The following is a 24,712-nucleotide window of genomic DNA, read 5'->3' as shown; positions in this document are numbered from 1 at the left end:
AGGATAGAGGATCTGACTGCCAAATCAGGACCAGGAAGGAGGACCTATGAAACCACAAAGAGTCCAGTATAATGAACAGGCCCTGCTAGTCTGGGAAGGCAGGGAAAGGCAGCTGGCAGTAAAAGCAGCTTATTCACTAAATCCTAGGGGAAGCATGTAGTATAATGGAGTCCTAGTAGGTTTGCAGCCAATACTTGGCTACATCCGGTGTGGGAAGGGAAGCAACATTGTCTGACCCAAATATCTATTTCAATGCACTAATTTGCATGGGGGCTGAAAAGCCTCTCAGAGCAAAGCAAGTAAATTTGAACCAAGCCCATAACTGGATCAGGTATATACCAGCACAATTAGAGTAAGGGTATGTGGTTAAACCAATGGACACCAAATTGCTGGAAGGACAGCAGAGCTCCAGCAAGTGACTTAATGATAGAGGAGGGTAGAGACTGGCAGAGTGAGCCAGTTTCCACAGGATTAAAGGTTGAAAAGAGATCACGCCTCTGGTTCAGCATGACGGCTCTAAATAAACTCATCCTACCTTGGCAACTCTGGTGGTAGTAGAGATGCACCGTGAGAAGAAAAAGGGCTGTTAGAATATGTGGAAACAGCTGTCTCTGAAAGAATGAAGAGCTCGAACAACCCTGCTGTGGGGCTCCACATCTTCCTACCTGTAATGTGGAGGGAATTGTCTTCTTTGAAGGAGAGTGCCATGTTCTCATGCTGTCGTGGTACCAGAAGAATTGGGCCCATTAAGCAGAAACTTCAAGGACAGCATCCACAACGCACCTAGTGGTAGAAACCAGTGGAGCACAGTACCTTGAGTTGATGGGTACAATTGAGAATTTGGGAGGAGTACTGCTAGGGATTTTTTTTTTCTTCTTCTTTTTTTTTGAGATGGAGTTTTGCTCCTGTTGCCTAGGCTGGAGTGCAATGGCACGGTCTCTTCTCACCGCAATCTCCGCCTCCCCTGTTCAAGCGATTCTCCTGCCTCAGCCTCCTGAGTAGCTGGGATTACAGGCATGCACCACCATGCCCAGCTAATTTTGTATTTTTAGTACAGATGGGGTTTCTCCATGTTGGTCAGGCTGGTCTTGAGCTCCCGGCCTCAGGTGATCCGCCCACCTCAGCCTCCCAAAGTGCTGGTGTTACAGGCATGAGCCACTGCGCCTGTCCCGGATTGGTATTTTTATAGGAACAGGTGGATGCCTACAATTAGCAAGACTGGTATATGAATGAATGTAAATGTAAACACATTTGTACTATGAGCCAGTATAGACTATTGGCCTGAGAATATCTGCATTGCTACAGATGAACTACAAGGCAGTCTAGGGAATCTGACTTTTGACCAGAAACAGAGCCACCAGGAGGCAGCAGTTTCTGAGTGGGTTTGGAAAGATAAAGGGAGCCTGGCCTGGAGGAGAGAAGTCAGCACCACTCCAAAGGGACCCAGGTGAATGCTGACCTCTGATCAGTGATGCGAAAGCCCTAGTAGACAACAAGAGAGAGCTGAACCTGAAGCTGAGGTGGGAACAGGAGAAAAGTAGGAGTGTTCGTGGTTGACAACGAAACTCTAAGGAAAATTGATGAAGGAAACTTTACTCAGCAAGTACCTACCTTATGCTGGGTGGGCACTTTCTTCACTATATTGGTGATATAGGCATTATCTCCATTTTACAGTTGAGGAAACAGGCTCAGAGAAGCTGTCTTCAGTTATTCATCAACTATATGCACATGGAATATAAAGATAAGACACCAGTCCTGTTCCTTGAGGATCTCAGAATATTGTAGGATAGAGACACGAGGCAAATCACTCTATTACTGTGCTCCCCAGACAAGAGTAGATGTAAGCAGAAGGTGCAATGAAACCACAAAGAGATTTCCCAAGTCACAAAGTCAGTCAGTAAGTGTCAGAGCCAGGATTCAAATCCTGCACTGTCTGGGTCCAAACCTCAGCATCTTCCACCATTCTGGCACACAGCTATAGTTGTCCAGACCCTTAAGTCATAGTCTGAGTTCTGAGGAAGGGCAGTAGTAGCCTTTGCTACCAGCAGGGATTTTTTTTTTTTTTTTTTTTGAGACAGAGTCTTGCTCTGTCGCCAGGCTGGAGTGCAATAGCGCGGTCTCGGCTCACTGCAACCTCCGCCTCCCAGGTTCAAGCAATTCTCCTGCCTCAGCCTCCCGAGTAGCTGGGACTACAGTCGTGTGCCACCACACTGGGCTAATTTTTGTATTTTTAGTAGAGACGGGGTTTCACCATGTTGGCCAGGCTGGTCTTGAACTCCTGACCTCGTGATCCACCCACCTCGGCCTCCCAAAGTGCTGGGATTACAGGTGTGAGCCACTGTGCCCGGCCTAGCAGGGAATGTTTAAGAACGAGGCGAGGACATTGGGAATTGGGATGCGGCTCACAAACGTGATGCAGCTGCATATCAGACCCAGAAAGGATGACGGTGCCCTCAGGATTACCAGGTGTGGGTCGGGTGGGGTGGTTCATGCCTATAATACCAGCATTTTGGGAGGCTGAGGCAGGAAGTTCACTTGAGCTTAGGAGTTTGAGACTAGCCTGGGCAACATGGTAAAACCCTGTCTCTACAAAAAAACACAAACAAACAAATAAAAAGTAGCCAGGCGAAGTTGCACAAACCCATAGTCCCAGCTACTCGAGAGCCTGAGGTTGAAAGAGTGCTTGAGCCTGGGAGTGGGCCGTGATTTAGCCACTGCCCTCTAGCCTAGGTGACAGAGTGAGACCCTGTCTCAAAAAAAAAAAAAAAAAAAAAAAGAGATTACCAGGCATGGAGACCCTCCGCTAGGACAGGACTGATTCAGATCCTAGAAGTGGCAGTGAATGGTTCTAGCTACGGGAGCCCCTGGGGCACTAGAGAGTGCTGGCTGGTCCTTATGCAAATTGGGGCCAGAGAGAGGAGCCTCAAAAATCAAGCTGCGATTGAGAGGAGGGGGAGCCATATTGGGAGTAGCATTGGGACTACGAGAATGAAATTGGAAAATTGTTGGGCTGGAAGGAGAGCTTGCACACTCTCTAGGATCACCATCTCCTTTTTACTTCCGTTGAGTTCAATACATCCTGGCAGGATCGTCTGCCTCTTTGAAAGCAACTGCTTTGCTTTCAAACTTTGCTTTTTCCTCCCTTCTGAGCATAAGATATGGAAGAAATCTGGGGCCCCAATCTTTTCTAGGGCTGCTTTGCCTCTGACTAGTGGCTAGATAGCCCAAACTGACTTTGTACAGTTGGGACAAAGCTGTGGGATTCATGACATTTGTGAGCCACACCTCTGGGGCATGTGAATCATGACTCTCTCTGGGCCCGGGGGCAAATCAGGGTGGAGTCACAGGATTTGAGGTAAGGACACTGGGACTAGAGAGGGGACAGAGAGTAGGCAGAGAGTGTCACAGCCTAAGGAAGAGAACCTCCCTGGGCAGGTGGCTCCATTTGATTTCCGATTTAAAGGGGAGGCTTAGATAGCTAAGAAGAAAAAGGCTAATAAGAAAAATATTAAACTGCAGTGTGTGTGTCCCCAGGGACTTCCTGTTGCCATGACTGACCTCCCGGAGAGCGCCATTCGTTCCCAAGCATGGCAGCTTTATAGGCACTTGTAGGCCTGCAAAGAACACCAATTTGCTGCTGCAGTTTGTTTTGATAACTGAAACTTTCAATAAATCTATATTAAAATCAAAGGGAAAATTAACTAGGCCCTAGTGAGGGGCACGGAGATAAGGGAGCACATTACCACCCTGGCCTCTGCCACCCCACATCCATCTCTTAGTTCAGATTCAGGTCACCAGGGAGATGAATGGCTCAAGCTCTTGGGGAACAGCTCTGGGGAAAAGCAGGAAGAAGGCGGCATGGCCAGATCCAGCCCTGACTCCTCCCGGAGTGGCAGAAGACTGCTAGGGGGTTGGGTTGGGGAGAAGAGGAGGTGGGGTGGTGGTGGTCATGGTGGGAAGAGGGGCAGGAGAAAGGGGTAGGGGAAGGGTGAGAATAATAGTAATAGCCACTGTTTACTGAACTCTTTATTCTAGATAGTGCTAAGCAGTTGTATATTTAATTCCAATAACAAGTAGATACAAGTATTATCTACATTCTAGAGATGAAGAAACTGAACTTCAGAGAGGTATGTGACTTGCCTAAGGTCACAGATGGAGCCAGGACTCAAACCTGAACAGGTTCTCTCTGAGCCCACCCTCCTATGCTGTTTTACATAGCTTACAGGGACTACGACAGCAGTAGCAGGTCTTCCAGTTGCCACATAAAACGGTTTCAGACCCAGTCTGGGTTCTCTCAGCTGTGCCAAGGTTTGCGGGCTGCCATGTATTATCCTTGGGTCCTGCACTCTCTGCGCTTTGACAGCTGGTTAAGGTCCTAGCTTTGATGACCACCTTGCTGCATTTCCTGGTGGTTTGACAGGGTATAAGAAGACCTAACTGACCAGGCGTGGTGGCTCATGCCTGTAATCCCAGCACTTTGGGAGGCCAAGGCGGGTGGATCACCTGAGATCGATAGTTTGAGACCAACCTGACCAACATGGAGAAACCCTGTCTCTACTAAAAATACAAAAATTAGCCAGGCCTGGTGGTGCATGCCTGTAATCCCAGCTACTCGGGAGGCTGAAGCAGGAGAATTGCTTGAACCCAGGAGGCGGAGGTTGCGGTGAGTTGAAATTGCGCCATTGCACTCCAGCCTGGGCAACAAGAGTGAAACTCCATCTCAAAAAGAAAAAAAAAAAAAAAGGCTTAACTTGGTCCTCTCTTTTGTTCTTGCTCTCAGTGTTCACTTTAGCTCAGTCGCTCAATCCAGCAGCTAGGGTGTCTGTGTGTCTGTGTATTGAACTCAGTTCATCTGCCTCCCCAAATTCACTTGCCCTTGCCTCATCTGCATCCCCGACTCTGGCCATTGGCCACTTATTTATTGCACAGCTCAACTGCCACTCCCACCTCATTTACTAACACCTCTGGTTGTCTTTGTTTCCCTTGGGATGATGGCTAGGTTTTGACACAGCCTCCAATGTGCCCACTGTGGCGGGACTGCAGTGGACCTAATCTGACCCAACCAGAGGCTTTGATTCCTCTCACCATTTCTAGTCTCAAATGAATGACTGTGCTTCCAGGTGTGGAATCTGGCACCCCCTGTGGCTACGGCAGTGGTGGGGTAACATAACCCTTCCTTCTCCCTGTCACACAGGATGGTTCTACACACCTTGTACGACAGAGCAACTAGTTGTATTTTCTTTGAGGCACTGGCCAACTTCTCAGTAAGACACTATCTTGTACGTTCTTTCCCTCCTTCCCTGCTTCACTTCCCCCCTTCCCCCACTCTTTTATTTATTTGTTTATTTAAGTCACGGAGTCTTGCCATGTTGCCCAGGCTAGCCTTGAACTCCTGACTTCAAGCGATCCTCCTGCCTCAGTCTTCTGCCTCCTGAGTAGCTGCGACTACTACATGCGTCACCATACCCGGCTCCCCTCACTCTTGATGCCTTGGGATTGAACTCCCCAATTAAATTTGAGCACATAAGTTTTGCCTCAGGCTCCGTTTCCTTTTTTTTCTTTTATAGAGATGGAATCTTGCTATGTTGACCAGTCTGGTCATGAACCCCCGGGCTCAAGCAATCCTTCCACCTTGGCCTGCCAAAGTGTTGGGATTACAGGCATGAGCCACTGTGCCCGGCCCAGGCTCTGTTTTCTAGGGAACCAGATAGCACACAACAGAGCCATGGCTTGAGAAAGCCAAGTGCTGTGTTAGGCGGCAGTGTAAGATACCAAGTGTATACTGAGCTGTTAAACTGTTCTATTATTTGAATCAATTTGCCTGGTCTTTGTACAAAAAGAACTTACAGTGTGGTGAAGTCCTGGAAGCTGTACAGTTGAGCCCTAGTGCACCAAGGAGGAAAGAACACATTCTGGGGAAGTCAAGGGGACCATGGAAGGCTCCACAGAGGATGTTGGGGCTGGGCATTACATAAAGCCTTGAATCCAGATACTATAGATTTACTTCATTCTTACAGCCAAGAAGATTGGCTGTGCCCTACTCTCAGGCCATAACTCAGTATATAACAAAGCTATCTCACTGCCTCTTGTCTTATTTTTATATTTACTTGTTTTATTATCTATTCTTCCTCCTACAGCCCCTCCCCAATTTATTTATTATGGCTCACTGCAGCTTTGTCCTCCCAGGCTCCAGTGATCCTCCCACCTCAGCCTCCTGAGTACCTGGGACTACAAGCACGTGCCACCATGCCTGCCTAATTTTTAACTTGTTTGTAGAGATGAGAATCTCATTATGTTGCCCAAGCTGGTCTTGAACTCCTGGTCTCAAAGGATCCTCCTGCCTCAGACTCCCAAAGTGTTAGAATTACAGACGTGAGCCACGACACCCAGCTTCCCTCTCCAATTTAAAAGCTCCTTGAGAATAGAGGTGTGTCGTTATTCATCAATGAATCCTCAGCAACAGAAACAGTGCCTGACACTTAAGAGAGGCACTATAAATACAGATGGACTGACTGACCAACTGGGGTTAATGTGTAGGTAATAATAGGAGAATCTGTTCCAGCTCCAAGAGTTGGGGGATAGTGCCTCCACTTTACTGACCTCGGGATAAGTCTGTCCCTGCTGCTGGATATTCCCTCATTTGTTCGCAGACATTTATTGCGGGCCTTCTTTATACCTGCCCTATGCGGTGTATTACTGATACAACATGAACAATATGGAAAAAATGCTTTTCCTAAAGGACTTAAAACCCTGTGGGAGCGACAACAAGGAAACAGACAATTATAAGACAATATGATAAATGCTATAGGTCCACAGCAGAATCACCTAACCTATGACGTGGGTGGGATTAAGGAAGGCATTCCCTGATATGGGGATTACCAGGCACTCTCAGCTCAGGTGGAAACCGTTATGGTAAGGTCCGCTCTCAGAGGTGGTAGGGCCCAGAAATGACATCATCCTAAGTGTAAGTATGCAGACAGCACACAGAGGGGCTTGGTAACTGAAGCTGGGCCCAGAGGATGGGGTCCTGACCGATTGGGAAGCTGTCAAAGCCATCATTCCCAGCTCATAACCTGGGACCCATGACTACCCAGAAAGGCATAACCAGGATGAAGAAACACAGGTCTCTCCAGCTTACTGGAGAGACTGACTGGGGAAGCTCCTCACAGCTGAGGCCAGAAACCTTTTAAACAGAAGTTTCCTCTGAGTGGACCTGAACAAGCCAGTTCCCTCTTCCTTAGGACGGCCCTTCACAAATCTAAGCATTTTCCTCTTAGCTTAATCCCTCCTTGTCTCAGGTCTCCCCCAGGCCCACATCCGAAAGTAGATGACAATAATTACTTGTTGAATGAACGAATCATGAGGAGTCATGTAAATAGAATTCTGTCACGTTGTGAGCCCACATTCACCTTACGGGTATATTGGAGGGCGGGAAAACGGAGATGGGGGGCTCCACTAATGTGTGTCTGTGATCCTGGTTAGATCGCTGTAGGCCATAGAAAGTTTCATTTTAAAAAAATTCCTTTCACAGATCAGAAGTGATGTCCCCGTCCCCGTCTTCTCTTCTGAGTTTGTGCAACGTCAAAACTACAAGTCCCATAAGGCCGGCGGCCGGGAGTCACCATCTTGACATACCTTAGCGCGCATGTCGGCGGGAGAGCGAGCGTTTGGGGAGAAGAAGCCCCGCCTGACTGCAGCCCATTGGTCAAAGGGGTCGGCAGCGGGCTCAGCGGTTGGCCACAGCGCCCGCCCGTCCGCCGCGTCGGTCGGGGTCAGAGTGCGCGGAGGTGAGTCGGTGTGTTGTGGACTCGTGGTGCTGGCTGCCGCTGTTCAGGCGGCCGGGAACGGGCGGTGGGGAGCGGGCGGAGCTGGCCCTGCCTCTGCCTGGCCGGCGCCGCAGTCGGCGCGGGCCGCGCCCGCCGCCGCCAACTGCCCTGAGCGCTTGCTGAGGCCGAGGGAGACGTCGGGGCCTGCACCTGGAGGGAGCCTGCCGCGCTGGCCCCGAGGAGGGGGCGTTGCCATGGCGACAGCCTCTCCCGCTGCTGACGGGGGGCGGGGGCGGCCCTGGGAAGGAGGGCTGGTCTCCTGGCCCCCCGCCCCTCCCCTTACTCTCCCCTGGACTTGGATGGGCCCGAGTTGGGGGCAACACCCCGGGGTGGGTGATGCTGAATGGCCCCGCCAAGATTGGGCCCTGGTTAATGCATGCGGGGTGAGGGTCGCGGTGCGCAGAATTTATGCAACCTGGGGTGCTGGCCCATGTGCTTACCCTGGATGCTTACTTAATCTACTGAGTAATGTTCTGGCGGAGGGGGAGCGGGGCAGAGCTTTGCAAGACAGGATGGGTGAGTTTATTAAGGGGGTTGACTTACTGGGATTACTAGAGAAGAAAAAGGTTTGACTAGAGAGGCTAGAAATGGAGCATGGAGATTGTGGGTAGAACATTCCCTTGACCCTCTCGCCAACACATGCCCACACACCAGGTTAGCAGTTTACCTCTTTGTAAATCTGAAGCGGTGGTAGTAGTGATGGTGGAAGGAGTGAATAAGGGCCTAACCTGGCTAGCTTTCTGTTTGCCTGTCTTGCAAATGGTCCAGCAACAGGTGTTTTCTTAAAAAAAGCATGAACTTGGATTGAGGCTTGACTGCGAGTTCTTGCAAAATATAACTGCTCCTTGTTGACTTGGAAGATGCTGGATGTGGGGCCCCTCAATGGGGGTTTGGATTTTGTCCTTAGAGCTGGATTTTGCAACAAATAGTGCCCATCGTTGTGTCTGCGAGAGGTCTCTGGCCACTTCAATGGCATTTACTCTTGTCAGACATTTAATCAGTCTCCCAGCGGAAGGGCAGCAAAACATGAATCCTATTGGCTAAAAGAGTGTACGCTATTCAAACTATAGTAGGTTGTGAGTGGCTAAATGAGTTTTGATTGTAGAGTTTCTTCCAGAAATTGGCTTCATCAAATTCTGCTTTATTCTGACTTTATCATATACAGCATGCCTTGTTTTAGTGGGTTCTTGCTTGGAGCTTAGTTTATTATACCTGAATCTCCTACCATTTAAAAGCCAATTTATAAACAGGGACTTGGAGTGTGACTCCACTAATGTGTGTCTGTGATCCTGGTTAGAAACCCACTTGGCTGCCTTTTCCTCAGGAGGTGGGGGTTGGGGGAAGGGAGCTGCCGGGAAGTGATTGATAAGGTTTCCTTTATAGATTCTGTGGTGCTTCACTGGAGCTCAGAGCACTTTGGCAACTTAAGCACTCCAAATTAAAAGCTCATTAACAATTCCTGCCCAAAGATCCTGTAAATAATCAGCTAGCTAGGTCATAGAGCTTGGCTAAGAGCTTTTCTTCCAACTTGAAATTTCCAAATAAAAGTGCTTTTATTCCCTTTCATTTTAAAAAGTGTTTTCTTTGTGGTGGGGTAAATTGGTGAGTGGCCTTTTCCCAGGGGATCTGAGTAGAAGAAAGTCTTAAATGTGTGGAATGGTAGACAGGAATATATTAGTTCCAACCCTAGGTGTTTCTTTATGCAAAAGACATCACTAACAGGGGCATCTCTGCAACTTCTGGTCCTTTGGAGGATATGAATTAGTTGAAAAGGATGATAGGTATCTATTGATGTTTTGACTTGGGATTTAGTTACCTTGACTTTCTTAGAGCTTGAAGCAGGCTTGGAACTATCCTGAAAGTGTTTCCTAGTCTATGTGGCCATTTTCAGTATGGCTTGTGGATTTGTGGCAACCAACCCCTACCCCAGTCCTGGCCCAGCCTTAGTTCCTTAGTTCTGAATATTGTCAGCCTTACCAGTGTCTTCCTCCTTGACTAGACTAGGATTCTGAAACTACCCAGAGGCACCACTTCATAGCTATCTTTCTCGGTAAATGTTTAGTGTTTCTAGGAGGTGAGCCTCCTTAGGAGCAAAAGTATATGACTAGAGAACATGAAAATCATTACAAATGTAGTACTAATAGTTTCTGAAAGCTCTGTGGGGGCACTGTCTTTGCACATAGATAGCAGTTATCCCGAAGTTTGAGTTTAGAGTTTGAGGTGTAGTATCCTTCATGGGGATTTGATCCTTGGTATTGAAATAGACTTGTTGCAGAGATGTGTATTTATCCACAGCATTGGGGCTTTCCAGCTCTCACAGAACCTTCAGCATCCCCAGCTGCCGGTCTTGGCATCTTCGAAGTAAGGAGAGGTGAGAATCCTGTTGCATGGTCAAGTCTGGCTTTATTTTCTTCTGAGTATTTGGGCTTGGAGGGTAGGGGGTGGGGGCTGATGCAGATTGTATTTTTTTTCCCATGTATCCCCAAAGTCTAAACGAATCATATTTTTTTGTAGCTTCTTCTGATAAAGTAACATATGCTCAAAGTCTGTAGAAACTTACTTAAAGTTTCTAAAGTGGTAAGAGTTGGAGGTGGGAGATCCAGACTGTCAAGTTCTGTCACAACTGCTTTATGGGCATCTCATGAGCACCTACTTTAGGTTCAGGATGGTTGAATAGAACCAGAATAGCCCATTATCCTGAGAAATACACATCTTAAGAAAATAGGAAGAAACATCTTCATTTGGCTTTAAACATTTATCTATCTATCTATCTATCTATCTATCTATCTATCTATCTATCTATCTATCTATCTATGAGACCTTGCTAGGTTGCCCATGCTGGGCTCGAACTCCTGGGTTCAAGTGATCTCCTGCCCACAAGTAGCTGGAGCTACAGGCATGTGCCACTACACCTGGCTCTCGTTTGGCTTTTGCTAATGTATTTGACCAAGGCCTTTGGGATCTTGGTTTAATTTAGGTTGCATGTCACCTTTTGGTGGGTGGTTAGTTCCAACCTGTCTGTTTTACAAGGATCAGGGACCAGCTAAAGAGGCATACTCTGGATGATTGATATCCAGGGACTCGAGCTTGTTTGTTCAATAGCTAAGGGCCAGGCACTGTGCTAGTTCCTGGGATTGTAGTGGTGAACAAGAAAGCCACCTTCCCTGACACCATAGAGCTTACAAATTCATGGGAGAGACTGATAGTAAAAAGGCAGTTATGATATGATCTGAGAGTGCTATAGTAAGGGAAGTGTAGAGGCTTTGGGAATACTCAGAAAGGTCTCTAACCCAGACTTGTAGACTCAGGGAAGGCCTCTCAGAGGAAGTAAACCTCCTCACATAGAATTAAACGAACCCTCAAAGAACACGGGAAATTAAAAAAAAAAAATTAGGTGAAGACATGAGGGACCAAGTGTCAGAGCTTTGTTGAATTTGAGAAAGTTCAATGTGGCTGAAACAGAGTACTTAGTGGTCAGGGGACAGGAGGATATGGGGAGAGATGAAGCAGGAGCTAAGCAGAGGCCAGAGCCTTAGCCTTATAAACTCTTAGGATTAGACCAGGGAGTAGAAAAAAGATTAGATTAGTGCTCTGCAAATTTTTTCTGTAATGGATAAGATAGTAAATATTTAGGCTTTGGGTCTCTGTCACAACTTCTCAACTCTACTAAACTCTGCAGTTATGCATGAAAGTAGCCACAGACAGTATGAAAAGGAAGAGCATGGATGTATTCCTGTAAAACTTTATTTATAAAATAAAGGTGACAGTTAGATTTGGCCCATGGGACATAGTTTGCTGACCTCTGGATCAGATTTAAGAACAGTAAGAAGCCATTAAAGGGTTTTAAGCAGTAGACTGACATTAGATTTATGTTTTAGAAAGTTGGCAGGCCGGCATGGTGGCTCACGCCTGTAATCCCAGCACTTTGGGAAGCTGAGGTGGGCAGATCACTTGACGTCAGGAGTTTGAGACCAGCCTGGCCAACATGTTGAAACCCTGTCTCTACTAAAAACACAAAAATTAGCTGGGCATGGTGGTGCACATCTATAATCCCAGCTACTTGGGAGGCTGAGGCGGGAGAATTGCTTGAACCCAGAAGGCGGAGGTTGCAGTGAGCTGAGATGGCACCACTGCACTCCAGCCTGGGTGACAGAGCAAGACTCTGTCTCAAAAAAAAAAAAAAAGTTTGCTCTGATTTCATTGTGAAAAATGGATTGAAGGGGACAGATGATACTGGAAGCAGCAGGACTAGTCAGGAGGCTGTGGCAATTACGTGGATAGCATTTTATTTTTATCTTCTGTGGCATTATTTTGGTCCTTAAAAATTGAGTATATGGCTGGGCACGATGGCTCGTGCCTATAATCTCAGCACTTTGGGAGGCTGAGGCTTGAGGCAGGAAATTGGGACCAACCTGGTCAAGATACTGAGACCCAACTCTACAAAAAAACCAAAAACAACAAAACTGATCTATAAATACGCTTTTCTTATAAATAAAAAAAAGAGTATAACTGAATCTTTGCATATATAACAGTTCTCTTTACTAACTTCCTACCCATCTACTAGAATGTCTACCAAAGAATTTGTTGGAGATACTGGCTTCTATTTTACAGACTGGAAAAGATGTAGAAAGGGAAAGATGGTATAAAATGAATTGAAAGAGCTGGGCACGGTGGCTCATGCTCATAATCCCAGCACTTTGGGAGGCCGAGGTGGGTGGATCACTTGAGGCCAGGAGTTTGAGACCAGCCTGGCCAACATGGCGAAACCCCGTTTCTACTAAAAATATAAAAATTAGCTGGGTGTGGTGGCATGTGCCTGTAATCCCAGCTACTTGGGAGGCTGAGGCATGAGAATCACTTGAACCTGGGAAGTGGAGGTTGCAGTGAGCCGAGATTGTGCCACTTTACTCCAGCCTGGGCAACAGAGCGAGACTCTGTCTCAAAAAAAAAAAAAAGATTAAAATCCTTTGGAAACTATATTTTAATGAAGTATGGAATAAACGGAGCCCTGGAAGGAGTCTTGGTCTTAGGGCTCATAGCTTATTGTCAATTAATTCGAACTTCTTGAACTGTACACACAGAGGATGACCCATTTTCCTAAGCTTTCCAGGAAATTGTCCTCATTCTATATATGTCCTATTTGGTTTCTCCTTTCCTTGCTTGTAGAAGACTGATGGCCTCTTCCAGACATTTTGGAGATGTCTCCTAGTTCAGGTATGATGGTATATGTCAAGGACAGGGACCAAATAAAGTATTGTATTTGGTGAGCGTCTGATGAATAGGTTAGAGCTGAGGGTCCCATGTCTGCACTTTCCCTTTCTTCCTACTTTTCTTTTGTAGGAGGTCTTCATCCTACAAGCCCTAGTGTAGGTTTCTGATAGCAGTGTTTATGTGACCTTGGGCAAGTGCCTTCCTCTCTGGGCTTCACTTTGCTATCTGTAAAATGGAGATAATGAGACAATCGAGTTGGCTGAAGGATTTAATAATGTAAAACTCTTTGCACAGTGTCTTGATAACTTTTATCACTAATCAAATTTTATATAATTAATAAGTTTTTAAAAAGCAGCCAGTATTTGGGTGACTTGGCTTTTGGCTTCATATTTTTTGTGTCCTCACAGTTGTCGTTGTGAACATATGCTAAAAAGATAGCTGCTTGTGGTGGCAGCCAGCAGACAGGAGGAATTTACAACTAAAGCAAGGCACTGCTTTTCATAATGGAAAATTTTCAGACAATGGGTGTTCATTTAGAATCCCAGAACTGGCCAGGCGTGGTGGCTCACACCTGTAATCCCAACACTTTGGGAGGTCAAGGCGGGTGGATCACCTGAGGTCAGGAGGTCAGGAGTTTGAGACCAGCCTGGCCAACATGGTGAAACCCCATCTCTACAAAAATACAAAAAATTAGCCAGGCATGGTGGCACACACCTGTAGTCCCAGCTATTGAGGAGGCTGAGGCAGGATAATTGCTTGAACCCGGGAGGTGGAGGTTGCAATGAGCTGAGATCGAGCCACTGCACTCCAGCCTGGGTGACAGAGTGAGACTCCATCTCAAGACAAAACAACAAAAAACAATCCCAGAACTTTTTTCAGTGTGGACCTTAGTCCCAACACCATCAGTAAAGCAAATCGAGTGAGCAGCTTCCCGATAGAAATTCACCAAAGTGTGACCAGCATTCCTCCCTGTCTGTCTGGGGTCATTTATTAGTGTTGATACCCTGTGGCCTTACATCTTTGTAAAGTGCCTCTCAAATTTTTTAAAATTACTTTTCACCAGCACTCTGGGAAGTGGGTCAGGTGGTCAGCATTCTTGTCCTTGATACCATATGAAGAAACTGAGGCCTAGAAAGGTTAAATGAGTTGCCTGAGGTCCTGCTGCGAGGTACTGTCAAAGCTAGGGCAGATTTGCCATCCAGATGAAAGTGTGTTAGTTTATTGCTGTGATTTCACTTTCCTTGAGTGAGAGGTGCATAGTCATTGCAGAACTGCAGTCTGATGCATGCCGTGTCCAGATCTACTAGGTTTGATTTGGGTCCCACATTATCCATTTGGTTCTGTTGGGTTTTAATTAATGATTGCTAGAACCAGAACTGTTGGGAAGCAGACTCCCTTTTGGATCATTGTTTTTAGGCTTTCCTCTTTGGGGACATTCCTTGAGGAGCCTTGGGTTACCAGGGATTGCTTTGATGTGTTCAAAATTGTGCCTTGTGCCCCACAGCTACAGGTAAAATCAAAAGGCGGATAATTTATGGGAGTGTCAGAGCTGGCCGCTGGCACCTCAGGAGGCCATTAGTATGCCTGTTCAGACCCTCTGTGTCCTTGCAATTGATTCCTCTTTGCATGAGCCTGATTTGGGAAGCTGTAGATCTGTGGGTAGTGATTGGATGTGACAGTCCAAACACTGGTCCCTAAATTAATCCTTTTAATGGTATTCCGGCACCAAGGCAATTCTCTCTCTCCCTGTCTGTCTCTCTGTGTCTCTCACTCTTTCTTTCACTCTTTTTCGCTCTTTTTAACTAGGGAGGACAGAATGGGGTGGGCTAGGAGGAAGGATAAAGAAAGGAAGAGAAGAAGCTTTGTTTGCTGCTTAGGCCCTGCTCTGTTCTAATTAGCATGTTCTAATTCCAGAGCAGTTGGCATCATGACTGTGGGCATATTAATTCATTTAGCAAACATTTACTCTTGCTTACTTTGTGCCTGGTCCTGTGCTGGGTGCTGGGAATACAGAGGAATAAAATGTGGTCCTTACCCTTAGGGATCTAGCTCAGTGTTTCTCAGGCTTTAAAAACTCTGAGACTTAGCACAGTTTAGATTAAAACACACACACACACACACACACACACAACAAAACAATCTCATGCTCTTCTTTAATGCTATTTGAAATTTTGAAATGCATTAGTCTAACAAGCAAGTCAAAGAATTATGTCAAATATGCTTTTTTTTTTTTTAACACATGCACACATTCACCTATACTGCTGTCTTCTATCCTTCTTCCTTAACTCTTTGAAAATTACTGGTAGTAGAAGAAACATACCTAATATCTTACAACATAGTGAGATAAAAGTTATGAAGTAGGAATAAACTGTGCCACTGGATCATACTTAAACAATTAGCTTTATGATGGAGTGTCAGAGAAAGCCACCAAAAGGGGGGAGATTTGAGCTGGATTTTAAGGAAGGAGTCATAATTTGTCTGGCAAAAAATGGAAGTGCATTCCAAAATAGGGAGCAGCGTTTGCCAAAGCACAAATTTGTAAAAGGAAACGTCACATTTGGGTACTTGAGTAAGAATTGGTTATAACCCTGCCTCCTGCCAGTTTCCACTCTGTAAGATGGAAAGATTTGCTCCTGTGGAATTTTGTTTGAGAAGAGACTTCGAGTTCCTTGTGCTGCCGTTCTTTTAATTCTGCTCTTGTGCTCAGGCCTGTAATTTTTCTTTTTAAATATAAAAAAATATGAAAACTAGTTAGGATGATTTGGATAGACTTAATTATTGCTTAAGGTTGAGTTACTTTTAGTTAAAGTTACACTTTGCCTCAAAAGAAAAACTGCAGTTGATATGCATTGTTGGTCCTCTGTCGGATGGAGGGAATCAGTCATGTGGGGAAATGTGGGCCATCACACGTGGTAGAGAACAGGGCCCCAAAGAGCTGAGCACCTCCGAGCCCTTAGTTTCCTCATGTGTGATATGCGAATATTCTTACCCATTCTGCTTGATACTTGGGAGGATTAAATAAAATATGTAAATCATCGATACAATGCCTGGCTTGGAGTAGATTTTCAGAAAAGGGTGTTTGCTTTTTCTCTTTCTCATGTAGTAACAGCTCCCTTTTATTGAGCGCTTGCTATTGTGCAAAGCACTTTTTGTACATCGCACGGTTGAATTGAATCCCAAAGACATAGGTATTATTATTATTATAGCTATTATTACAAATAATTTGTAGTAGAGTCAGGATTTGAACCTAGGTTTGTCTATTACCAGTGTTTTAACACTAGATTATATAACTCCTTGCTTTTACAGCAGTTCCCCATCTTGGGACCAGGAGTATAGGAAGTATTTAACAGTTCTGGGTACCTCTCTTCTGGGATCAGATGCTGTCTACAAATGTGAGAGGTGCTTAAAGGGATGATGCTACCATACCCTGCCCTCCATCCATCTCTAGTCTATTTATGGTGTGTTAGGAAGCAAGGCTTTGCCCCTTCTCGTGTGTGATGAGGTTGCAACTGACTTGCAGGACTTTGCAAAAAGATGTCTTCAAGCTTTGGCCGCTGAAAGGAGTTTGCCCAAGCTACTGGGCATGGCTGCTGGGTTAGCAAACAGCAGGCAAATCACAAACAATTGCCTCTTTTTATGTGTTTCTTGGAGCTGCTGAAACAGACCAGTTGAAGGGGAGAGCAAGCCTGCTGTGACCTATGATGTTGCCCTCAGAATTTGGTGTTCCTGAAGATCTTTAGTGATTTTAGCTCTGCTGGTAGTTTGGGATTATTAGCAGCTGCTTCTGAGTTGGGGGAGCTCTCCATAGCTGTGCCTTGGAGCAGAAGCAGCTGTAGCTACAGGCCAAGGCAGGGACTGAGTGTAGAGAAGAGGAGACTGTTTTGTTGAGGTGAGGACTCAGTTTTAGAGTTCCTGCTTCCTTTCCGCATTGGGACCATGTGGAGCTTCCAGGGCATGTCAAGCTTTGTTTTGTCTTCAACCTCTAGCCTTCAACAAACTAGACAGAGTCCTCAGGCTCTTGGCCTCTTCTGTGAGACTGCATAGCTTGGGAAATGACTAGTGAGGCCTTTTCCTTGTGTTGGAGCAGTAGCCTGAGACCCTGGCCTTGGAGTTGAGAGCCTGGGTTCTATTCTTACTATTTCTTGCAGTGTGAACCTTGGGCAGTCCTTTTCTCTTTCTAATCTCATTTTCCCTGGCTGGTTGGACTGTGTTGCCTCTTAGGTTTTCTTTCACCTTTGACAGTTTGTTTTTCACACAGAGAGTGCTCTGGCAGTAAGGATATATTCATTAGATTGAAGATTATGACTTTTGAAGGGATGCAGTTTATTTGTATTTTTTCCCAGGCTATTTTTAGCTGCTTGAGACAAAGCCAGTGACTGAGTTCCAGACAGGTATTACTGTGTTTTTTGTTGTTGTTTCTGTGACTCAGGTGCCTGAGCACTTGTGATACTGCAGGTCAGATTGGGTTGGGGACTTACACCAGGACTGAGAACTGAGGAAGCTATGATTGTTGTATTCCTAGGTGCTTTCAGTCAGCTGGACTCAGAACCTGTTGCAGGTAACTTGGAGTTACTTGGATGTATCCCTGCCTCCTAGTCTGGCTTTTAATGGAATGAATTGAATCCAGGGGTGGTATAAACATACACCATCCCAGAGATCCCAAGTACATGTGGCTGGGGAGGTGGAAGTGGGAGTAGACCACCTGTTTCACAGTGGCCTCCTCTTGTTTTCCCATCCTGAGGACTCCCTTGGCCTGTGTGTGTGGATGTTAAAGGTTGACCCCCTCTGCTCACCCCTCCAGTAATGGAGGCTATAAAATGTCTATTTACCCAAGACACCAGAACGACTCCTCTGTGGTTCCTCTAATCTGGTGATTTGGTGCTTCTTTGGTCTCTCAGGTAAATACAGATTGAGTCTTTTTATAAAGGCATATTATTTCCCTCATTAAATGTGTGTTTTGGCACATGTGTTATTTACCTGATAGACAGTAATGGCTGCAGAGGAGCCATTGGTGTCTGTTGTGTAAATACTCTGCACAGAGACCATCCTCCAGGGGCTCTGGCGCAGGCCTGCTTCTCCAAATCGGGCTGGCCCCGTGGCAGTCCCATTTACCCCTCCCCTGTCCCCACTGGGGACCTGGGCCCTTCATATTGAGGAGAGAATCATTCATTTTCCTCCTTGCCATGGGCTACTTAATACCTTTAATTTGCTAGGAGACGGAAAAGGATGTCTGAGAATAAATGTGTATAAATCTTAGTCTCTGATGAAAGATAGTTTGCAGAAATAGGCAGAATCATAAACTTTCTTTTGAGTTCTGGCCCTCATTTAGATACTCAAAGTCCCAGTTGATATTATAAGCTATAGACTTATAGCCTGCAAATTTGTGACTAAAACATAAAGACATCAATAGAAAAGAGAAATCCCTAAGACACCGGAGGGTGCAAGGGCAAGTGGGATGCTGCTGCAGGGAGCAGGTGTGTTTCCTGAGAAGGCTGTATGGTAGCAGGAGTGCCAGTGAAGTGGGCATTGAGTAGGGGCTCTTCTGATGGAAACTCGGCTGGATAGAGATACTGTTTGGGCTGAGAGATGCTTTGAGCCTCTCTACCAGAGAGAACATGCAGCCTACCTTCTGTGGGCATTACAGGGAGATCTGTCTCTTCAAATACTGTCTGTGTGATATTTTTAATTTTAAAATTGTAACCACATTGCACATGGATTTTAAAAAACAATTTTATTTATTTATTTATTTATTTATTTATTTATTTATTTATTTATTGAGATGGAGTCTCTGTCACCCAGGCTGGAGTGTAGTGATGTGATCTCAGTTCACTGCAAACCCTGCCTCCTAGGTTCAAGCGATTCTCCTGCCTCAGCCCCCTGAGTCACTGGATTACAGGGGTGTGCTACCATGCCTGGCTAATTTTTGTATTTTTAGTAGAGATGGGGTTTTGCCATGTTGCCCAGGCTGGTCTTGAACTCCTGACCTCAAGCGATCTGCCTGCCTTGGCCTCCCAGAGTGCTGGGATTACAGATGTGAGCCACCCCACCCAGCTGATTTTAAAAAACAATTTTAAAAAAACGTTTGAAACAGCCCAAATTTACATAAAAGTTGTAAGTACAGTAGAAAGAATTTTTTCCCTGAACCATTTGAGGGTTAAGTTGCCGACCTAATGCCCCATCACCCTGAATGCTTGGTGTGCATTTCCTATAAACAAGGACATTTTCCTACCTAGTCAAAATACAACCATCAAAATCAGGAAATTAACATTGATATAAAACCTCTATATAAACCTTGGACCCCATTAAAGTTTTGCCAGTTGTCCTAGGAATGTTCTTTGCAGCAAAGTGATCCAGTTCAGAATCGTGGGTTGCATTTGGTTATCAAGTCTCTAGTCTCCTTTAGACTTTCCTCAGTAAACGTTCCTTGGCATTCATGACCTTGATACTTTTGAAGATTACAGGCTGGTTATTGTTTAGATTGTCTCTCAATTAGGGTTTGTGTGACATTTTCTCATGATTAGATTTAGGTTGTGTAGCTTCAGGAATATAACAGAAATGATGCTTTGTTCTTCTCGTCGTGTGATTTTGATTTATCCCATTATTGATAATGTTCACTTTGATCACTTGATTAAGGTGATGTCTGCCAGGCTTCTCCATCATAAAATTACTACTAGTTGTAATTAATAAGTATTTTGTGGGGTGATACTTTGAAACTATGTAAATATCTCACATCAAAGTTTAATTTTATTGATTTATATCTTTATGGACTCATGGTTTTCTATTCAGTGCATTATAATCCATTACTATCATTGTTTCTTGGCCAGTGGGTGGCTTCTGTATCCTTTTGGTATGTTCCCATCATTATTTGGGTGTTTCCTTGCTTTCTGATACAAGATGTTATGCGCTCATCTTGTATTTCTCTTGCTGCATCCCTGGAATCAGCCATTTCTCTAAGGACCTCTGTTTCTTTTAGTGGGGAATGGTATTTAGAAGGCAACTGGGGCTGGGTGCTGTGGCCCATGCCTGTAATCCCAGCACTTTGGGATGCCAAGGTGGGAAGAACATTTGAGCCTAGGAATTTAAGACCAGCCTGGGCAACGTAGTGAGACTCTTATCTCTACAAAAAAAAAAAAAAAAAAAAAAAAAAAAAAATATATATATATATATATATATATATATATATATATATATATATATTAGCTGGATGTGGTGGCACATGCCTGTGGTCCAAGCTACTTGGGAGGCTGAAGTGGGAAGATTGCTTGAGCGTGGGAGTTCGAGGCTGCAGTGAGCTATGATTGTGCCGCTGCACTGCAGCCTGGGCAACAGAGCAAGACCCTGTCTTCAAAAAAAAAACAAGAAGGCAATGGAGTGCTAGGTGTGCTCATTGCCATTGTTACTGCTCCCTGGCTCTTCCTTAAATAGAGCTAGAAAATATATATGCATATGTGTGTATATTTGTGTGTGTGTGTGTATCCATCTATCTATCTGATACACATCTAATCAGAAACCATGAGTTCACATTCTTCCTGCCAATTCCAATCCAACACCACAGATTTTCTCCCTTTCCATATTTTAACTCCTTTCTCTTAACAGTGAGAAACCTGGGTCCCATTATGCTTAATATATGCACTTCTTTGATCAGTTCCTCTGTAGGTAGCTAATCCTCATTACTGCCACTGCCCTTTACCCTTCATGAGTGCCTCTTTTACCCTGCGTGTGTCACCCCACATCAGACTGCCAGCCGACATGGATGCTCTCCACATCCCCCTCGGCTCTGACATGCTGCACCACACCTTCCCACTTCTGCAAGGATGTCTTCCTCACCCTGCCTGGGCTCTGACAGTGTCCCCCAGACCTCTCTGGCTCACCCTACTCCACCCGTTGTAGATATCTGCCCTCTTCTGCTGCACCTAATGGCTTTAGGATTGAGTTTTTCAGGAAGGGAAGAGGAAGAGCTACCCTCTGTTTCTTGACTTGAACTGAGCTTGGTTGTTAGAAGTAAGGGAAGTGTGGAATCCAGTAACTGCTGATATGTGGAGGCCTGACCTCCTAATGTCTACTCTCAAGACTTCCTACGAGAGAAGTTTTTTTGTTTTGTTTTGTTTTGTTTTGTTTTTGAATTATGGTCTTGCTCTGTCACCCAGACTGGAGTGCAGTGGCTCCATCACAGCTCACTGTAGCCTCAACCTCCTGGGCTCAAGTGATCTTCCTACTTCAGCCTACCAAGTAGCTGGGACTACAGGCATGCAGCACCCCGCCTGGCTAATTTTTAATTTATTTTTTGTAGAGATTGGGTCTCACTATGTTTCCCAGGCTGGTTTCGAACTCCTGGGCTCAAGCAATACTTCTGCCTCAGCCTCCCACAGTGCTGGGATTACAGGTGCAGTCACTGTGCTTGGCCAAAAGAAGCTTTTTGATGTAGATGAAATCAGGTGAGAAAGCAAGGCCTGCAGGCAAGAGGACCACTGGCCATCAGAATAGGGTATATATAGTATGCTCTGTCAGAGGTCTGGAGCATTTTAGGGTTGCAGAAGACATCGATATTACTCTCTGAGGCTGCCTTATGAATTAATTGGATTTGTAGGCCCAGAATCTGGGGATCCAGGCTTGGCCAGGTGGGCATAGCCCAATAGGATAGTAGTAATAACATTAGGATAATATATATTAGGCTGTTATATGCCAGGCACTGGTCTTAGTGCTTTACATGTGTTGTCTCATTTTGTTCTCACTTAAGGAGTAGGTGCTATTGTTATTGTCATTTTACAGATGAGGAATTGAAGAACACAGCATGCCCAAGGTGCCATGGGTAGTAAGTGGTAAAGCTAGGATTCAAACTTGGAAGCCCTCCTTACTCATCATGCTTAATTGCTTATAGTATTTGGTAGACAGGATTGACTGACTGTATATACTACGCATATTCTGTGCACACTGTAGAACATTAGGACTTTCAGAAGTCTTTACACTTTTTTATGGGGTTAGAGAAGAGTCTAAGTCCTTGAGGGACTTTGGATCCAAACTAGAATGGGTAATTTGAGCAGACTGGTGTCTTCCATCTCATTAAGGCTTCCAGTACTATTCAGGAATAGGCGATGAGAAGATTCTGGCTTTCAAAGGGATATTGGCCCTCTTGCCCTTCCAGGAGACTCCATATTGAAACTCAAGCCAGCGTTTGTCTACCTGGGCTGAGTTTTGGCTGTATTTTTGGTGAGGCTATAAAGCAGTGGTGAAAACAAGTGCTGTGCTTGTGCAGGATCCATGAAGAACTTAAAATATTTTTTGGTCTTAGCTCCACTGAATCCCCCTGAAATCTCATTATAGGGATAGGGAAATTGAGGACCTACACTAGCGTATATCCTACTATATATATAGGCAAGTTACTGTAGCTCATTCAGTGAGTCAGGAGAGAGATGGGAAGACAGCCATACTTGGCATTATCTGCTTCTGTTCAGGTGGTAGTGGCCTCATTGCCTTTGAGTACGCGCTGGACTTCACAGGGTGCTATCCCTCTACCCTATGTGAAGGGAGCCAGGTGCCCACTTGCAGCCATCAGAGGCAAGCCTTTGGTTGTGTTGGAATGAGGCTTCGGAAAGCACAAACTATGGCCATTACTGTATTGTACAGTGAGATTTCTTATTTGAGGATTAAAGTTGAGAGAAATTTGAATGTTGAGTATTAAAGGGAGAAAGACAACATTTCTGCTTTGTTCCTTTTTTCTTTTTAAGGAAGTTTGAGTTATTCGTGAGTAAAACTTAGGCTTTGATTTTTGTATTTAGTTAGGCCTCTGAGGAGCAGGCATTCTGCAAATTTAAGGGGAAAACTTAAAGGAAAAGTGATTTGATTTTTTTTTTTTTTTTTTTGCACATGTTCACTCAGAAAACTTTACTAGACTTTTAGCCATGTTCCTATTACTGCCACATCTGGGTTTTCTTTTTCTTCCCTATTTAAAAAGTCCCGCAGTCATTCAGGGCCTCGAGTAGAGACCGAGTCTAAGGCAGCAAATGAGAAGGCCTAAGGCTGCAGCCAGCTGTGCTCTCCAGGCACTGTTCATTCCCCCAGGGTGCCACTTACTAGTGTGGGGGTTGGGGGATCACCAGAATGTCAGAGCAAACCCCTGTGATTCGCTTTGTTTGCCTTCACCTTGGGAGAGGGGAGGAGGGTATGTGGAGACATCAAGATACAGACTGGAAAGCCAGGGGCAAATGGCTCCTAGTGGAGCTGAGAAAAGAACCTTGGACATTTTCTGCTGCTTGTCTGAGTCTACTTAGCTTCCAGGACTCATTGTACAACAGGGTCACCTCACGTTACTTTGGACCCATAGCTTTAATGTTAACTGTTGCCACCTGAGAAGTGACTGCACAATTTTTCTCTCTTCTCTCTTTTGAACTTTAGAGCTCCATTTAAAGATGCAGGCCAGTGTTGCATGTTGTTTTGAGAATGATCTGGGAGACTCAGAGCTGTAATAATGCTGCAGGTGCTGCTATTAGGGTCTTGAACTTTAGTAACGAATACTATGATTTAGAAAAGGGGCCCAGAAACACTGGGGAGTGGCCCATGTTGCGTGGATATTCCTGAAGACTAGATGGAACAGGGCCACAGTGGGAGGGAGTAACCCAGGCTCTCTGTTCTTTTTTTTTTTTTCTTTCTTTTCTTTTTTTTTTTTTTTTTTAAACTTTCCTCCCCTAAGTTTTAGATGCTTCTGGATGTTCAATGCTAGCACCTTTACAGACTGGAGCAGCTCGATTTTCTTCGTATTTACTTTCAAGAGCAAGAAAAGTGCTGGGCTCCCACTTATTTTCTCCCTGTGGTGTTCCGGAGTTCTGCTCCATATCCACCAGAAAGCTGGCGGCCCACGGCTTTGGCGCATCCATGGCGGCAATGGTGTCCTTCCCTCCCCAGAGGTATCACTACTTTTTAGTGCTGGACTTTGAGGCCACGTGCGACAAGCCACAGATTCATCCTCAGGTAACTGTTCCATCATTGCTTTAGAAAAGGTGGGGGGGGCAAGGAGGGAGGGAGGATAGTTTTGCTTCCTGGGACACAAAGGAGCTTTCTCATGCCTTCCTGTCTTTTAGCTACTCATTTAGAGTTCCTGTCTAGGAAGCAGGACTTGTTTCAGGTATGCTAGTGTAAGGTAGACCTGAGAAGTCTCTGGAGAGAACTGGGTACATTGTTTCTCTCTAGTCTCAGCTTTTGGGAATCAAAATATTTCCTTCTCCCGTCCTTCCTTTCTCTGTTCTCTTCTTTCCTCCATTCTCCTGCTACTGCCACTTGTTCCTTTAAGGAGTGCTATAGTAGCTGGCCTCCAAGATGACCTCAATGATTCTTAACTCCTGCTATTCACACCCTTGGTAGTTCCCCTCCTGCACTGAATCAAAGATATTCCTGTATAGCTAATAGAATACAGTGGAAGAGATAATGTACGACTTCTGAGGGTAAGTTATAAAAAGTATTGCAGTCCACTTTGCTCTTTTGGACCACTTGCTCTGGGGGAAGCCAGCTGTCATGCTGCCAGGACACTCAAGCAGCCCTGTGGAGAGGCACATGTGTGTAGGAACTGAGGCTCTTAGCCAAAATCCAGTGCCCAACTTGCCAGTCATGAGAATGAGCTATCTTAGAAGTGAATCTACCAGCCCCGGTCAGGCCTTCAGATGACTGCAGCCCCGGTGGACATG

At 45.3% G+C, this 24,712-nt stretch overlaps 1 protein-coding gene across 16 annotated transcripts in view, besides 5 other annotated features; it reads left to right on the top strand.

The window, feature by feature from the left end:
- Positions 7,456–7,956: an enhancer, noted in NCBI's record as "H3K27ac hESC enhancer chr1:44820763-44821263 (GRCh37/hg19 assembly coordinates)". NCBI's record gives its function as "activates a minimal SCP1, AML or CMV promoter by ChIP-STARR-seq in naive H9 embryonic stem cells {active_cell/tissue: H9 hESC(naive)}" and the evidence as "EXISTENCE:reporter gene assay evidence [ECO:0000049][PMID:30033119]".
- Positions 7,456–8,055: a biological region, named in NCBI's record as "H3K27ac hESC enhancer GRCh37_chr1:44820763-44821263".
- Positions 7,506–7,555: an enhancer, noted in NCBI's record as "active region_938". NCBI's record gives its function as "activates an Ori minimal core promoter by ATAC-STARR-seq in GM12878 lymphoblastoid cells {active_cell/tissue: GM12878}" and the evidence as "EXISTENCE:reporter gene assay evidence [ECO:0000049][PMID:35858748]".
- ERI3 (ERI1 exoribonuclease family member 3) overlaps positions 7,768–24,712 on the top strand; it is a 134,210-nt gene continuing 117,265 nt past the window's right edge. For 2 of the 16 annotated variants that reach the window (NM_001301700.1, XM_017002303.3), the window contains exons 1-3: positions 7,768–7,787; positions 10,122–10,197; positions 23,725–24,002. In NM_001301700.1, coding sequence (NP_001288629.1) covers positions 23,748–24,002 — 255 coding nt within the window. In that variant the 5' untranslated portion in view covers positions 7,768–7,787; positions 10,122–10,197; positions 23,725–23,747. The other 14 variants (XM_005271186.3, NM_024066.3, XM_047430152.1 and 11 more) reach the window with 11 other exon arrangements.
- Positions 7,826–8,055: a silencer, noted in NCBI's record as "silent region_809". NCBI's record gives its function as "represses an Ori minimal core promoter by ATAC-STARR-seq in GM12878 lymphoblastoid cells {active_cell/tissue: GM12878}" and the evidence as "EXISTENCE:reporter gene assay evidence [ECO:0000049][PMID:35858748]".
- Positions 22,885–23,386: an enhancer, noted in NCBI's record as "NANOG hESC enhancer chr1:44805333-44805834 (GRCh37/hg19 assembly coordinates)". NCBI's record gives its function as "activates a minimal SCP1, AML or CMV promoter by ChIP-STARR-seq in primed H9 embryonic stem cells {active_cell/tissue: H9 hESC(primed)}" and the evidence as "EXISTENCE:reporter gene assay evidence [ECO:0000049][PMID:30033119]".

The sequence above is a fragment of the Homo sapiens genome, chromosome 1 (genome assembly GCF_000001405.40).
Source record: "Homo sapiens chromosome 1, GRCh38.p14 Primary Assembly".
Lineage (NCBI taxonomy): Eukaryota > Metazoa > Chordata > Mammalia > Primates > Hominidae > Homo > Homo sapiens.
The sequence above is the reverse complement of the archived record's forward strand: the minus strand, read 5'-3'. Positions and strand labels throughout refer to the sequence as shown.